General features: G+C 44.8%; 1 pseudogene, besides 1 other annotated feature; it reads left to right on the top strand.

The window, feature by feature from the left end:
• Positions 4673 to 4967: an enhancer, noted in NCBI's record as "tiled region #14057; HepG2 Activating non-DNase unmatched - State 24:Quies, and K562 Activating non-DNase unmatched - State 7:EnhWF". NCBI's record gives its function as "activates a minimal TATA promoter and a strong SV40 promoter by Sharpr-MPRA in HepG2 and K562 cells {active_cell/tissue: HepG2 | K562}" and the evidence as "EXISTENCE:reporter gene assay evidence [ECO:0000049][PMID:27701403]".
• Positions 4975 to 5536, top strand: LOC100287189 (SEC61 translocon subunit beta pseudogene; annotated as a pseudogene).

Genomic DNA, 17927 nt, shown 5'->3' with positions numbered 1-17927 from the left:
AAGGCCACCAACCAGAGGCTGGCCAGCAGCTTCTGAGGGGTCTGAAAGAAACAGTTCTGGCCGGGCATGTCGACTCATGCCTGTAATCCCAGCACTTTGGGAGGCTGAGGCGGGTGGATTACTTGAGGTCAGGAGTTTGAGACGAGCCTGGCCAACATGATGAACCCCGTCTCTCCAAAAATACAAACATTAGCTAGGCTTGGTGGCACATGCCTGTAATCTCAGCTGCTCAAGAGGCTGGGGCAGGAGAATCGCTTGAACCCGGGAGTGGAGGTTGCAGTGAGCTGAGATCGAGATTGCGCCACTGCTCTCCAGCCTGGGTGACAGAGCAAGATTCCACCTCAAAAAAAAAAGAAACTTTTCTTTTTTTTTTTTTTGACACAGAGTCTCACACTGTCGCCCAGGCTGGAGTGCAGTGGCACAATCTCAGCTCACTGCAAGCTCCGCCTCTTGGGTTCATGCCATTCTCCTGCCTCAGCCTCCTGAGTAGCTGGGACTACAGGCACCCACCACCACGCCCGGCTAATTTCTTGTATTTTTAGTAGAGACTGGGTTTCACCATGTTGACCAGGATGGTCTCGATCTCATGACCTCATGATCCGCCTGCCTCGGCCTCCCAAAGTGCTGGGATTATAGGCATGAGCCATCACGCCCGGCCGAAATGGTTCTAACCAAACAGAGATCTCAGTGATTGACCCTGAAGGCCATGAGTGAGCTGCCATGAGGAGCAGGCAGAACCTCTGAGTAAGCAGAAGCCACAAGGCAAGCAAAAGACAAAGTGAGCAGAGAAGGAATTCTATTATTATCCCTGGGAAGAAGGAAGCTGAGACTCTGGGAAGTTAACTAACTTGCCCAACACTTGCCTAACCTGCCTAATTAGGTTGTCTAATTCTAAAGCTTACCCTCTGGACCAGTGCACCATACTGTCAAATTGCTAACGAAAACAACTGCATTACATTTGATGCAGACAATTCCTTATTTACAAGCTAGTATGGGGTCATGTTAATAGGGAATAAAAAAAAATAGGGTCATTAGAGTTATCTCCTTTTCCTGGGATGGTCACACAGAGCCTCTCTTCTGGCCCATTCATCTTTTTTATTTTCACTTTTTTAGTAGAAATGGGGTTTCACTATGTTGCCCAGGCTGGTTTTGAACTCCTGGGCTCAAGCAATCCTGCCATCTCAGCCACCCAAAGTGCTGGGATTACAGGCATGAGCCAATGGGCCCAGGCCCATTAGTCTTTTGGTCATTCCTTTCAAGACTGACCAGGAACCTTCCCACCATACCATATCCCGATCAAGAGTGCTTTTTATCGCCAGGCATGTTGGTTCACACCTGTAATCCCAGCACTTTCGGAGGCTGAGGCAGGTGGATCACTTGAGGCCAGGAGTTCGAGACCAGCCCGGCCATCATGGTGAAACTCCATCTCTACCAAAAATACAAAAATTAGTTGGCTGTGGAGACGCATGCTTGTAATCCCAGCTACTTGGGAGAATTGCTTGAACCCAGGAGGTGGAAGTTACAGCGAGCTGAGATCACGCCACTGCACTCCAGCCTGCCAGCCTGGGTGACAGAGTGAGACTCTGTCTTAAAAAAAAAAAAAAAAAAAAAAAGAGGGGCCTGGCGCAGTGGTTCACGCCCGTAATCCCAGCACTTTGGGAGGCCGAAGCGGGTGGATCACGAGGTCAGGAGACCGAGACCATCCTGGCTAACACGGTGAAACCCGTCTCTACAAAAACACAAAAAAATTAGCAGGGCATGGTGGCAGGCGCCTGTAGTCCCAGCTACTTGGGAGGCTGAGGCAGGAGAATGGCGTGAACCGCGGAGCTTGCAGTGAGCCAAGATGGCGCCACTGCACTCCAGTCTGGGTGACAGAGAGAGACTCTGTCTCAAAAAAGAAAAAAGAAAAAGAAAAAGAGTGCCTTTTATCTATTCTCAGCCAAGAGTGGTCTCAGCCAATATGTGGCAAGTGCCACTGATTCAGTAGTGAATAAGCCATATCTCTTCCATGAAGAGCTTTAGTCTTTAATTCCTAAGGTGTTTCTGCAGTTCCATAATAGTAATAATAGCTGCTAAACGTGCTAAGTTGAAGGCAAAGCCCTGGGAAAAGGCCACTGTAGTAGACCCCTCTGGGGGACACTGCCCAGCCAACAACAGCCTCCACCTATCAGAATATTTGTCCTTTCTCGCCCAAGAGTGGTTTTCAGAAGCACTGTTCTAGCTCGTTTCACAACAACCTTGAGATGATAACATTAAGGTTAAGTAAATTGTGCAAGACCACATAACTCTTTCATAGCTCTAGTAATGACTTTAACTCAGGTCTGCCTGGCTCTAACACACATGATCTTTCCACTATTTCCTGCTGCCTCCAAATAGACAGACAAATGGGCTATTCGGTTTGACTTAATATACAACAATCGCCAAGGTTTTTGTTTCATTTTCCTTTTATTGGCATCAGTAATATTCATGCTTTTTTTTTTTTTTTTGAGACAGAGTCTCACCCCTGTTGCCTAGGCTGGAGTGCATTGGCACGATCTCAGCTCATTGCAACCTCCACCTCCCAGGTTCAAGCGATTCTTGTGCCTCAGCCTCCCGAGTAGCTGGGATTACAGGCATGTGCCACCATGCCCGGCTAACTTTTATATTTTTTTAAGTAGAGACGGGGTTTCACCATGTTGGCCAGGCTAGTCTCAAACTCCTGACCTCAAGTGATCCGCCCACCTCGGCCTCCCAAAGTGTTGGAATTACAGGCATGAGCCACTGCGCCCAGCTGGCATTAGTAATATTCATTACACTGGTATCTTTAACCTTCATTTTGGCAATAATGCCCCGTAAAACACCAGACAAACCCTTAACAAGCTAGCATGATGCGTCTGGGGAGTTTGTACACATGGCCGTGTCCATCTATGGGAAGATATAGTGTTGGAGCAAGCCCCAGGAGTAGTCAGTCAAATGGCTGAGGATTCTTTTGCAATGAGGATATTACTGATGAGAAATAAAGGCCCAAGGGAAAATCCCCCTCAATGACGGAATGTTTCCAGTACATCTGAAGGGAGTTGGAAACGTGTATGTAATGTCCTGATGGGAGCTCATCTTTGCATGCCCAAAGTTGTGTAAGCACCTTGGTCCAGAAACATTCCCTGAATATAGCTAAAACTGCAAAAATTCAATGGTCCATGTCCTTTTTTCAAATTGTTTCACTATCAGCTGCTACTGCTCTGGTCTGTTCAAATAATGGCACCTTGATTTGAAAGAAGGAAATATGTATTTCATTTATAAAGTCAATAAATTTATTCTGAGTGCTAATATGTGGGAGGCACTATTGATTCAATAGTGAATAAGCACCATCTTGTCCATGAAGAGCTTTAGTCTTTAATTCATAAGGGCGTTTCTGCAGTTCCACAATAGTAATGAGAGCTGCTTGCTGTTGATGCACGATCATCCATTTGCACTTCACCATCATTCTGGGGTAGGCAGGGTAGGTCTTATAATCTCCATATCACAAATGAAAAGCCTGAGCATGAGAGAAGTTATGGCTTTTTTCCAAAGTTTCACAACTTGTAATTAATAGATCTGAGATTTTTTTTTTTTCTGAGACAGGATCTTGCTCTGTGGCCCAGGCTGGAGTGCAGTGGTGCGATCTCAGCTGACTACAACCTCTGCCTCCTGGGCTCAAGCAATCCTCCCACTTCAGCCTCCCAAGTAGCTGGGACTACAGGTGCCCACCACCACAGTGGCTAATTTTTGTATTTTTTGTAGAGACGGGGTTTTTCCATGTTACCCAGGCTGGTCTCGAACTCCTGAGCTCAAGTGATCCACCCACCTCAGCCTCTCAAAGTGCTGGGATTACAGGTGTGAGCCACCATACACACACAGTCAGATCTGAGATTTAAGACTGCTTAATCTGGGGGGTCCCTTTTATGGAGTTGCATGCTCTGTCATCTTATTTCAGATTTGGTATTTCTTGGAGATGCATAGTTTTCTGCTTGTGGTATTACAGAGTAAGGTTTAGCAACCTATGACCTGTGGGCCAAACCTGCTGCCATCTGCATTTGTTTGTTTGTTTGTTTGTTTGTTTGTGTTTTCGAGACAGGGTCTCACTCTGTTGCCCAGGCTGGAGTGCAGTGGCATGATCACTGGCTCACTGCAGCTTCAACATCCTGGGATGAAGTGATCCTCCCATCTAAGCCTTCTGAGTAGCTGGGACTACAGGAGTGCACCACCATGCCCAGCTAATTTTTGCTTTTTTTTTCTTTTGTAGAGACGGAATTTCGCCATGTTGTCCAGGCTCATCTCAAACTCCTGGGCTCAAGCGACCCGCCCCCCTCAGCCTCCTAAAGTGCTGAGATTACAGGCGCAAGCCACCATGCCCAGCCTGCTGCCACCTGTTTTTGCAAATAAGATTTTATTAGGACACAGCCACACTCACTCATTTATTTACTGCCTGTGGTGGTTTTGTACTACAACAGCAAAGTTGAGCAGCTGTGATCAAGACTATATGCCCCACAAAGCCTAAAATATTATTTCTGGCCTTTTATAAAAGAGTTTGCTGACCCCTGGTCCACAACATAAACGTAACTTGCCCTCCCCTTGATTACTCCCTTTGTTTAGGATTATGGGTCAGTCTGAGACCAGGATCAGAGTTCGTTGTGAGGCTATCAAAGATTACAGTTGCACAAATTCTACCTTGCCTAGGGCTTTTCTCCGTCTGCCTGACCTCAAAGATTGCCATGTGTCTCCACCTCTTCCGGTATGACTTAGAGAGGGCCCCCAGAAGAGCATATGACTTCATATCCAAAGGAGGAAGAATGTTCATAAACAAGAACTTGATTTGCTGGAAAACTGCCCTCATTGACCCTATCCTATAGCCATGGCACATTCCATTTGCCGTACGTAACATCCAACTCAAGAGGAGGCTGCCCAAGAACTCACTTGGTCTGAAAGCCAAAATGACTCTCTAAGAACATTCCTGGCAGTCTCGCCAGCTGCGGGTCCTTCGGGGGCTCCGCAACTTTCCTTCCGTCAGCGTCAGCTCCTTGCCACCCTCATCTCCAGCATGCCTGGTCCGACCCCCAGTGGCACTAATGTGGGATCCTCAGGACACTCTCCCAGCAAAGCCGTGGCCGCCCGGGCAGCAAGATCCACTGTCCGGCAGAGGAAAAATGCCAGCTGTGGGACAAGGAGCGCAGGCCGCACGACCTCGGCAGGCACATGGCGGATGTGGCGATTCTACACAGAAGATTCACCTGGGCTCAAAGTTGGTCCTGTTCCAGTATTGGTTATGAGCCTTCTGTTCATCTCTTCTGTATTTATGTTGCACATTTGGGGCAAGTACACTCGTTTGTAGATTCAGTTACATCCATCTGTCATCTGAAGAAGGAGGAAAAAACCCATCATTTCTTGGACCAAAAGTATAGTGACTATCCGTTCATGAGAGAAATTTTCTGTAAGCTTGCTGTTTTACAGGGGATTTATCAATAATTGATTTAGAGGAGTCAGTTTTTTTCTATGGCTAATAAACTTTTTAATTCACTTACAACAACAAAAAAGAACAATCTTGTTTTTCCAATTGTGCTTTTCTAATTGTGCCCGAATTTGAAACACTTTCTCTTTACTTTGTACTACCAGTCGGAGCCCACGCAATCCCCACAATTTGCATATTTGAATGGTCAAGGTTTCCTGTCACACTGTCCATGCTTTTTTGCCCAATGTGCCATTTGAGATACCCTCCCGGCAATTTGCATTTTTCAGTTTTTTGTTTTTGAGATGGAGTCTCACTGTGTCATCCAGGCTGGAGTGCAGTGGTGCGATCTCGGCTCACCGCAACCTCCACCTCTTGCGTTCAAGAATTCTCGTTTCTCAGCCTCCCAAGTAGCTGGGATTACAGCCGCCCGCCACCATGCCCGACTAATTTTTGTATTTTTAGTAGAGACAGGGTTTCACCATATTGGTCAGGCTGGTCTCGAACTCCTGACCTCAGGTGCTCCACCCGCCTTGGCCTCCCAAAGTGTTGGGATTACAGGCCTGAGCCACTGCACCCAGCCACTCCCAGCAATTTGATTCCATCAGTGAGAGCCTCTTCACCTGACGCCCTCAGCTCCCATTAATGAACACATCCTAATGAAGTTCTCTCTTTGTTGCTAGGCAAGTCTAATATGGTTTAGGGGAGGAGATGAGAGTCATTTAATCTAGCCTTCACATGGAAAAAGACCTCAAATTCAGGCTTTTGGCATCATCTATGAAAGAACTTACACGTAGATTCACCCTGCTACACTGGTAGGATTAAATTCAATAATGGACCACGTCACTTAGAGTCCACTTTAGACTCAATTGATATTGCTGTTGAACTTTTGCAATTGTTTGTGAATAGCATTTGACTTAGTCCATCTGGGTTGCTATAACAAAATACCTTAGACTGGGTAATTAACAACAGAATTTATTACTCACATTTGGAGGGCAGGGAAGGCCAAGATCAAGATGCCGGCAGATGTGATGTCTGATGAGGGCTCTCCACTTCAAAGATGACATCTTCTTGTGGCATCTTCACATGGTGGAGGTGGAGGGCAGCTTCCTCCAATCACTTTCTTTTTCTTTTTCTTTCTTTCTTTTTTTTTTTTTTTTGAGACAGAGTCTTGCTCTGTTGTCCAGGCTGGAGTGCAGTGGTGCCATCTTGGCTCATTGCAATCTCCACTTCCCAGGTTCAAGCGATTCTCCTGCCTCAGCCTCCTGAGTAGCTGGGACTACAGGCGTGTGCCACCACACTTGGCTAATTTTTTGTATTTTTAGTAGAGACAGGGTTTCACAATGTTGGCCAGGCTGGTCTCGAACTCCTGACCTCCAGTGATTCGCCTGCCTTGGCCTCCCAAAGTGCTGGGATTATAGGCATGAGCCACCGTGCCTGGACTCAGCTGCTTTTATAAGAGCACTAATCACATTCATGAGGGCAGAGCCCACATGACTTAATCACTTCCCCAAAGACCCCATCTCTTAAGACTGTAGCATTGGGTATTAGGTTCTAACATATGAATTTTGGAGAAACACCAACATTCAAACCATAGCAACATTATAAAATTACATTTTTACTTTTGTGGCAAAAAATATTAACTTGGGCCAGGTGCAGTGGCTCATGCCTGTAATCCCACCACTTTGGGAAGCCAAGATGGGAGTTCAGGAGTTTAAGACAAGCCTGGGCCACATAATGAGACCCCTATCTCTACCAAAAAATAAAAAATTAGCCAAACATGGTGGTGCGCACCTGTAGTTGCAGCTACTCAGGAGGCTGAGGTGGGAGGATCACTTGAGGCCAGCAGTTCAAGACCAGCCTGGCCATCATGGTGAAACCTCGTCTCTACTAAAACTACAAAAATTAGCCAGGCATGGTGGCAGGCACCTGTAATCCCAGCTACTCGGGAGGCTGAGACAGGAGAATCACTTGAACCTGGGAGGCGGAGGTTGCAGTGAGAGGTGATGGAGCCACTGCACTCCAGCCTAGGCAATAGAGCGAGACTCTGTCTCAAAAAAAGAAAAGAAAAAAAAAAGCATTGATCTTTCCTAACAACGTACCAAAGTTTGGCCATAGTTGGGTACGTTTTACTTCCCACTACCATGTCTCACATTATTTGTTCATCTCAGGATCCACATAGGCCAATGAGGAGGCTCTCCTGCCATTATGGGGGTCATCCCCTCTCCTACATCTCCCTCCTGGAAAGAAAGGAGAAAAATTAGCCCTGGAGCAGGACTTATTTAAAATTTTCAGATACGAGGCCACCCGAGAACTATCTACTGCATCAATGGAACCAATATGCAGACTCCATCACACACAGCTGTAACCCAGTATTGCACAGACTCAAATATTATCATCAGTCAGCAACCAGCAGGATTGTATGCCAATCGCCTGTTTTTTAAATTTTTTTTATTTTATTTATTTATTTATTTTGAGATGGAGTTTTGCTCTTGTTGCCCAGGCTGGAGTGCAATGGCATGATCTCGGCTCATCACAACCTCTGCCTCCTGGGTTCAAGCAATTCTCCTGCCTCGGCCTCCCAAGTAGCTGGGATTACAGGCATGCGCCACCACACCTGGCTAATTTTGTGTTTTTAGTAGAGACGGGGTTTCTCCATGTTGGTCAGGCTGGTCTCGAACTCCTGACCTCAGGTGATCCACCCGCCTCAGCCTCCCAAAGTGCTGTGATTATAGGCATGAGCCATTGCACCCGGCCTGAATCACCTATCTAACTAGGCCCAGTGCTGCCTACAAAGCTGTTATTAATATATGCGATGTTAACATATATGTTTATATGTATACATACATGCACATGCATGTATTCACATATACATATATACATAAAGACACACACATATATGTATGTAATTAATTGAATTAGCACTGATTTCTGAAATTGCACTTCCAGTTTCAGGTAACAGAGATGAAAGCTATTGCATCTTTTTACAGGATCTGGTGAAAGCCAGAGTCTGAAGGGTCATTTAGAGTTGGGTATACATTCATTTAATAAATTTTCACTGGGCTGCCTAAACACTCAAGACTGAAAGAGCTGAATATGGTGGCTCTGCCTATGAAGGATTCACAGATCAATGGCAGAGACCAACTCCAATGTAAGTCAGACCACAAAAGTGCTGTTCTAGAGATATAAACCAGGCATTGCTGTACCTCCAAGAAAGAGGCAATGGATTGAAGCTGGAAGAAGACTTCTCCTAGAAAAATTAATATTGGGGCTAGGCCTTGAAGAATGAGAAGATTCTGAGAGACAGAGAAGGGGGAAAAGGCTTTCTGTTCAATTTAACAAACAGTCTTTAATCACCTACCTTCTACTAAAGGCACTAAACTCTGTGCCTTCCTTGAATAGATGCTCAGTTTTTGTGACAGACTCAAATATTGCACAGACTCAAATATTATCATCAGTCAGCAACCAGCAGGATTGTATGCCAGTCGTCTGTTTTTTAAATTTTATTTTATTTATTTATTTATTTATTTTGAGATGGAGTTTTGCTCTTGTTGCCCAGGCTGGAGTGCAACAGCATGATCTCGGCTCACCACAACCTCCGCCTCCTGGGTTCAAGCAATTCTCCTGCCTCGGCCTCCCAAGTAGCTGGGATTACAGGCATGCGCCACCACACCCGGCTAATTTTGTGTTTTTAATAGAGACGGTGTTTCTCCATGTTAGTCAGGCTGGTCTCGAACTCCTGACCTCAGGTGATCCGGGTGCAGACAGAGCCAGCCCTAGACATATAGCACCTTTGTTCAATTAGAAAAGGTATCTGCCAGGCATGGTGGCTCATGCCTGTAATTCTAGCACTTTGGGAGGCTGAGGCAGGAGAATCACTTAAGGCCAAGAGTTCAAAATCCTGGGCAACACAGCAAGACTCTGTCTCTACAAAAAAATTTTAAAATAAAAAATAACAAGAATAATTAGCTGGATATGGTGGTGCACATGTGTTGTCTTAGATACTCGGGAGGCTGAGGTCGGAGGATCACTTGAGCCCGGGAGGTCAAGGCTGCAGTGAGCTATGATTGCCCCTGCAATCCGTCCTGGCTGGGTGGCACAGCGAGACCTTGTCTCTTAAAAAAAAAAATCTATATCTATATCTTTATCTATATCTATATCTATGTATGTGTGTGTGTGTGTGTGTATATAGATATATACATCTATCTATCTATCTATCTATCTATCTATCCTTCCCTCTAGACTTTCTTTTTTTTTTTTTAGACAGAGTCTTGCTCTGTCGCCCAGGCTGGAGTGCAGTGGCATGACCTCAGCTGACTGCAACCTCCGCCTCCCAGGTTCAAGCAATTCTCCTGCCTCAGTTTCCCAAGTAGCTGGGATTACAGGTAACTGCCACCACACCCGGCTAATTTTTTATCTTTTTCATAGAGATGGGGTTTCGCCATGTTGGCCAGGCTGGTCTCAAACTCCTGACCTCAGGTGATCCGCCCACCTCTGCCTCCCAAAGTGCTGGGATTACAGGCGTAAGCCACCCCGCCTGGCCTCCCTCTAGACTTTCAGAGGCCAAAATCAGGGCTCATGCTTGGTGAATCAGGCTAGATTTTAGCGCCATTTACAGCCCAACCTACCTTCCATGATAAGCTCCTTTGTACAGTGAATAACCTGCTCGACTGTATGTGGTAACCCTGAGTGCAGGAAACAAAGGTGAATAACACCTTTCACACTTGAGGAGCTCAACTGGTCAAGGAAATAAATATGGAAATGTATATGATATCATATGACATAATAAAGGTATGTTTGAACATTATAGGAGTTAGCATTGAGACGGAAATGTCATCAAAAATAAGGAAGCACGAAAACATGAATACCCTTGAGCAGAAAGGAGCAAGTGGCCTTATTTCTCTACCCCAGTGGTTCCCAAGTCTACAGGGTCATCAGAATCATTCGGTGGGCACTTAAAAAATTACAGACCCCTGCCCTCTACGCCTATCCCAGAGCAGGTCTGAGGCAGAGACTAGGAGTCTGCATCATAATAAGTTCCTCTAGGTGATTTCAGTGATTTGCTGGGTTAGGAACCACAGGTGTGAACCAAGCCCCACCCAGCCTCTACTCACCCAGTACCCACTTTCTCTTGGTGAGATAATAGTGTTCAGTACTTTCTCCCTAGAATAAAAAGGAAATGAAAGTTCTGTGGTCTCTAAAGCGGACTGCCCAGGTGAAATTTCAGTTCTGCTTTAGAAAGACAAAAGGCACCTGAGACCTGTGATGGCCGACACATCCAAGGGGCAGGTTACATGGGGTCACATGAGCCTCTTGCACCCACTGATGTGGCTGCTGCCAGGATGCAAAGAGAGGAAGGTGCAGCCTGGCCAGGACAGTGGCCTGTGAGCAGGAATTCTGATAACAAACCCTCAGAGGAAACCAGTCTGGTGTCTGAGAACCTGACTATGATGCTCATGCCCACCAAAAGACTCTTCCTGACTTCCTTGATTATGACTTTGGGATGTGTATTTGGGGAATTCAGTGCTGCCTTATTCAGTTGAAGGATGAAGTATGTTCCTAGGGCACCAGTGTGGCTTGCAGCAGAGTTTTCCTATCTATGAACATGGAATATCTATCTACCTATCATACTTCTTTGATTTCTTTCATCAGAGTTCTGTAGCTTTTCTCATGTAGATCTTTCTTTTTTTTTTTTTTTTTTGAGATGGAATCTCGCTCTGTGGCCCACACCACACTGGAGTGCAGTGGCTTGATCTCGGCTCACTGTAACCTCTGCCTCCCAGGTTCAAGTGATTCTCCTGCCTCGGCCTCCAAGTAGCTGGGATTACAGGTGCCTACCACCACACCCAGCTAGTTTTTGTATTTTTTAGTAGAGATGGGGTTCCTCCATGTTGGCCAGGCTGGTCTCGAACTCCTGACCTCAGGTGATCCGCCCACCTTAGCCTCCCAAAGTGCTGGGATTACAGGCATGAAGCACTGCACCCAGATCTCATGTAGATCTTGTACATGCTTTGCTAGATTTACACCTAAGGATTTCATTTTTGAGATGCTAATGTAAATGGTAATGTGTTTTTAATTTCAAATTCCATTTGTGGGCTAGGTGACAATGTGATTCTCCTGCCTTAGCTTTCCAAAGGGCTGGGATTACAGGCAGTGGTTCATGAGCCCAGGAGTCTGAGACCAGTCTGAGCAACACGGTGAGACCCCATCTCTACAAAAAATTAAAACATTAGCCATGCATGGTGGCATGTGCCTACAGACCCAGCTACTCAGGAGGCTGAGGCAGGAGGATGACTTGAGCCAGGAGGTAAAGGTTGCAGTGGTCCACATTCATGCCACTGCACTCCAGCTGAGTGACAGATCAAGTCCCTGTCTCAAAAAAAAAAAAAAATTTACTTGTTCATTGCTGCTACTTAGGAAAGTGATTGGCTTTTGTTTTTAACCTTGCATCCTGAAACATTGCTGTAATCACTTATTAGTTCCAGGAGGTTTTTGCTGTTGTTGCTTCTTTTGGATTTTCTACATAGACAATCATGTCATCTGCAAACAAAGGCATTTATATTTCTTCCTTCCCAATCTGCATAGCTTTTATCTCCTCTTCTTGTCTTGTTGCATTAGCTAGGACTTCTGGTACAATGTTGAAAAACAGTGGTGAGAGCGGACAGCCTTGCCTCATTCCTGATCTTAGCAGGAAAGTTTCAAGTTTTTCACCACTCAGTATGATGCTGGTTGGGGGGTTTTTAGAGATGTTCTTTTATTTACTTATTTATTTATTTATTTATTTATTTATTTATTTATTTATTTAATTTTTGAGATTGAGTCTCACTCTGTTGCCCAGGCTGGAGTGCAGTGGCACATTTGGTTCACTACAAACTCCGCCTCCAGGGTTCAAGCAAGTCTCCTACCTCAGCCTCCCGAGTAGCTGGAATTGCCCCCCACCATGCCTGGCTAATTTTTGTATTTTTAGTAGAGACAGGGTTTCACCATGTTAGCCAGGCTGATCTCAAACTCCTGACCTCAAGTAATCCTACGCCTCAACCTCCCAAAGTGCTAGGATTACAGGCATGAGCCACTGTGCCCGGCCTATAGATGTTCTTATTTAAGTTAAGGAAGTTTCCCTTTATTCCTAGCTTGCTGAGAGTTTTTTCTTTTTTTTTTTTTTTTTTTTTTGAGACGGAGTCTTGCTCTGTTGCCCAGGCTGGAGTGCAGTGGCACAATTACTGATGTGATAGATTATATTAATTAATATTCAAATGTTGAACTAGTCTTGCATACCTGGGATAAATCCCACTTGGTTATGGTGTATAATTCTTTTCTGACATTATTGGATTTGATTTGCTAATATTTTACTGAAGATTTTTGCATCTATGTTCATGAGAGATATTGGTCTGTAGTTTTCTTTTCCTCTAATGTCTTTGTCTGGTTTTGGTATTAGGGTAATACTGGCCTCATAGAATGAATTAGGATTGGTCTCTCTGCTTCTATCTCTAGAAGAGATTGTAGAGAATTGGTAAAATTTCTCCCTTGAATTTTTGGTACAATTAATCAGTGAACCCATCTGGGCCTGGTGCTGTTTTGGAAAGTTATTATTGATTCAATTTCCTTAACCTTTTTCCCATATGCCCCGAGAATACTCACCAGTGGCACTTGTGACTGCAGTATTTACCCCCAAGATAACTTTGCCACAAAATATCTTGCTTTTATTATTATTTTTGCCTCACTCTAGTATATTGACTTTGGCAACAAAAGATATCATTCTACTTATAGCATTCTGTTTTTAGTACTCGTATTTCCATTTAGAAAATATAGTAATTCTCGATTGCTGAAAATGCCAAATCCTAGAAAATGTAACATTCATACGTATGATGTTAACATTATTCTCGAACAGTTGTTGGCTGAAGATTCATTTGATGAATCCAATTTTTCCAAAACAGACAATTCTGATTATTCAGATTCTTATGTTAATTCCGTTTGGAAATAACTGCAAGAACAGTTTTTATATTTTATTTTCACATTGAAAATCAGTCAGATTTGCTTCAGTCTGAAAGAGCATGTTTATGTAAAATTAAATGAGCACAGGCAGCGAGCTGGTTTTTTTTTTTTCCTTCTAAGTGAGAAAAGGGTTAATAGATATAGGCCTATTCAGATTGTCTATTTCTTCTTATGTGAGTTTTGGCAGATTGTTTCTTTCAAGAAATTGGTCCATTTCATCTAGGTTATCAAATTCATGGATGATATGGTTTGAAGTCCCCTCCAAAACTCATGTTGAAATTTATTTGCCATTGTGATGATGTTGAGAGGTGGGACTTTTAAGAGGTGTTAGGTCAAGGGGAAACCACCCTCATGAATGAATTAAGGCTGCTATTGCAGGAGCAGATTACTTATTTTTTTTTAAAAAAAAAGAAAGTTCAGCCCCCTTTCTCTCTCTCTCTCTCTCTGTCTTTCTCTGTCTCTGTCTCTGTCTCTCTCTCGCATACTCTCTCACCATGTGATACCTTCTGCCATGGAATAACCATGGGATAACCCTCACCAGATCCTGGCACCATGCTCTTGGACTTCCCAGCCTCCAGAACCACGAGCCAAATAAACTTCTGTTCTTTATAAATTACCTAGCCGGTGGTTTTCTGTTATAGCAGTAGAAAGTGGACTAAGAGAGTTGGCATAGAGTGGCTCATAATATTTCTTTGTTATACTTTTAATGACAATGGGGTCTGTAATAATATCTCCACTTTCATTTCTTATGTTAGTAATTTGTATCTTTTTTTTTTTTTCCTAGACTGGCTAGAGGCTTATTGATTTTATCGATCTTTTCAAAGAGCCAGCTTTTGGTTTTGTTGATTTTCTCTCTTAATTTCCTGTTTTCAACTTCATTGATTTATTTATTTATTTTCAAGACAGAGTCTTGCTCCATTACCCAGGCTGGAGTGATGCAGTGGCGCGATCTCAGCTCACTGCAACCTTCGCCTCCCGGGTTCAAGCGATTTTCCTGCCTCAGCCTTCTGAATAGCTGGGACTACAGGCATGTGCCACCACACCCAGCTAGTTTTTGTATTTTTTAGTAAAGAGAGGGTTTCACCAAGTTGGCCAGGCTGGTCTCGAACTCCTAACCGCAGGTGATCCGCCCGCCTTGGCCTCCTAAAGTGCTGGGATTACAGGCATGAGCTACCATGCCCAGCTGCCAACTTCATTGACTTCTGCTCTGATTTTAATTATTTTTCTTCTTATACTGACTTTGGATTTAATTTGCTTTTTTTTTAGTTTTCTAAGGCGGAAGTTTACATTATTGATTTTAGACCTTTTTTCTTTTCTACTATATGCTTTCAATGCTATAAATCTTCCTCTAAGTGCTGTTTTTAATGCATCCATAAATTTTGTTAAGTTGTATTTTCATTTAGTTCGAAATCGCTTTTTTTTTTTTTGAGATGGAGTCTTGCTCCATTGCCCACGCTGGAGTACAGTGGCATGATCGTGGCTCACTATAACCTTTGCCTCCCGGGTTCAGGCGATTCTCCTGCCTCAGCCTCCCAAGTAGCTTGGATTACAGGCACACACCACCACACCTGGCTAATTTTTGATATTTTTTAGTAGAGACGGGGTTGTCCCATGTTGGTCAGGCTGGTCTTGAACTCCTGATCTCAAGTGATCCGCCTGCCTTGTCTTCCCAAAGTGCTGGTATTACAGGTGTGAGCCATCGTGCCCAGCCCAAAATAGTTTCAGCTGTCTCTTGAAATTTCTTCCCTGAGCTATATGTTGTTTAGGAATGTGTTGTTTGGGGATTTTTCAGCTGTTTTTCTGTTATGGGATTCCAGTTTAATTCCACTGTGGTCTGACAGTAGACATTGTATGGTTTCTATTTAAATTTGCTAAAGTGTTTTTTATGGCTCAGATTGTGGTCTATCTTGATGAATGTTCCATGTGAGCTTGAGAAGAACATGTAATCTGCTTTTATTGGATGAAGTAATCTATAGATGTCAATTATATTCAGTTGATTGATGGCGCTATTGAGTTCAACTACATCCTTACTGATTCTCTGCCTGCTATTTATTTCTGGTAGAGGGGTGTTAAAATCTCCAACCATGATAGTGGACTCATCTATTTCTCTTTATAGTTTTATCAGTTTTGCCTCACATATTTCGATGCTCTATTGTTAGTGCATACACATTAAGGATTGTTATGTCTTCTTGGGGAATTAGCCCCTTTGTCATTATGTTATGCCTCTCTTTATCTCTGACGACTTTCTTGCTCTGAAGACTGCTCTGTCCGAAATTAATTATAGCTACTGTCTGCTTTGATTAGTGTTACCATGCAATATCTTTCTCCATCACTTTACATTTACTCTATATGTATCTTTATATTTAAAGTGGGTTTCTCATAGGCAACATGTAGTTGAGATTTTTTTTCTTTTTTCTTTTTTAACATATCAACCACAGCAATCAGAGAGTCTTTTTTAAAATTCACTGTGACAATCTCTTTTTCTTGGTGTATTTAGATCATTGATGTTTAAGATGTTATTGGTCTAGTTGGATAATATCCACTGTATTTGTTACTGTTTTCCACTTTTTGCCCTGGTTCTCTGTTCTTATTTTTGTTTTCCATACTTTTTCTGCCTTTTGTGGTTTTAATTGAGTATTTTATATTCTCTCCTTTCTTAGCATATCAATTATACTTCTTTTATTACTGTTTTTTAGTGGCTGCCTTAGAGTTTGCAATATACATTGACAATTAATCGAAGTCTACTTTCAAATAACACTATACCACTTCATGGGTAGTGCAAGCATCTTATAATAACAAAATATTTTTTAAATTCCTCTCTCCCATCCCTTGTATCATTACTGTCATTTATTTCAACCATACACAAACATACCAACACACACACACACATATATATACATGTAACCGTACATAATCAATGACATTGTTGCTATTATTTTGAAGAAACTGTTATCTGTTAGATCAGTTAAGAATAAGAAAAGCGGCGGGCATAGTGGATCATACCTGTAATCCCAGGACTTTGCGGGGCTGAGGTGGGAGGATCACTTGAACCTAGGAGTTTGAAACCAGCCTAGACAACAAGGGAGAACCCCGTCTCTATTTAAAACAAAATAAGAAAAATATTTTATTCTTCATTTATTCATTCTCTGATCCAATGCTCTTCCTTTCTCATTTAGAAAAATTTTTTTTCTTATTTTTTAGAGATGGAGTCTTGCTATGTTGCCCAGGCTGGACTCTGGACTTGAACCCCTGGGCTCAAGCGATCCTCCTGCCTCAGCTTCCCAAGTAGCTGGGACTACAGGCATGTACCACTGTGCCTAGCCTGTCTTCCTTTCTTCATGTAGATCTGGTTTTTCGAACTTCTTTTAACCTTGCTTGAAAGGCAGACCTACTGATGACAAATTCCTGTAGTTTTTGTTTATCTGAGAAACTGCTTATTTCTCCTTCATTTCTTTTTTTTTTTTCCCAAGGCAGAAGAATTTTTCTTAGTACAGAACAAAATGAAGTCTCCCATGTCTACTTCTTTCTACACAGACACAGCAACAATCTGATTTCTCTATCTTTTCCCCACCTTTCCCCCTTTTCTATTCCACAAAACCGCCATCGTCATCATGGCCCGTTCTCAATGAGCTGTTGGGTACACCTCCCAGACGGGGTGGTGGCCTGGCAGAGGGGCTCCTCACTTCCCAGAAGGGGTGGCCGGGCAGAGGCGCCCCCCACCTCCCGGATGGGGCGGCTGGCCGGGTGGAGGCGCCCCCCACCTCCCTCCCGGACGGGGCGGCTGGCCGGGTGGGGGCTGACCCCCCACCTCCCTCCCGGACGAGGCGGCTGGCTGGGTGGGGGCTGCCCCCCACCTCCCTCCCGGACCGGGTGGCTGCCGGCTGGAGACGCTCCTCACTTCCCAGACGGGGTGGCTGCCGGGCGGAGGGGCTCCTCACTTCTCAGACAGGGCGGCCGAGCAGAGACGCTCCTCACCTCCCAGACGGGGTCTCGGCGGGGCAGAGGCGCCCCCCACCTCCCAGACGGGGCGGCTGGCCGGGCGGGGGCTGCCCCCAACCTCCCGGACGGGGCGGCTGCCGGGTGGAGACGCTCCTCACTTCCCAGACGGGGCGGCTGCCGGGTGGAGGGGCTCCCCACTTCCCAGACGGGGCGGCTGCCGGGAGGAGGGGCTCCTCACTTCTCAGACGGGGGGGGGCCGGTCAGAGACGCTCCTCACCTCCCAGACGGGGTGGCGGCGGGGCAGAGACACTCCTCAGTTCCCAGACGGAGTCATGGCCGGGCAGAGGCACTCTTCACATCTCAGACGGGGTGGCAGGGCAGAGGCGCTCCCCACATCCCAGATGATGGGCGGCCAGGCAGAGACGCTCCTCACTTCCTAGACGGCGTGGCGGCCGGGAAGAGGCGCTCCTCACTTCCCGGACTGGGCGGCCAGGTAGAGGGGCTCCTCACATGCCAGAGGATGGGCGGCCAGGCA

Source organism: Homo sapiens, chromosome 11, assembly GCF_000001405.40.
Source record: "Homo sapiens chromosome 11, GRCh38.p14 Primary Assembly".
Classification (NCBI taxonomy): Eukaryota; Metazoa; Chordata; class Mammalia; order Primates; family Hominidae; genus Homo; species Homo sapiens.
This window is presented reverse-complemented; position numbering and strand designations above follow the sequence as displayed.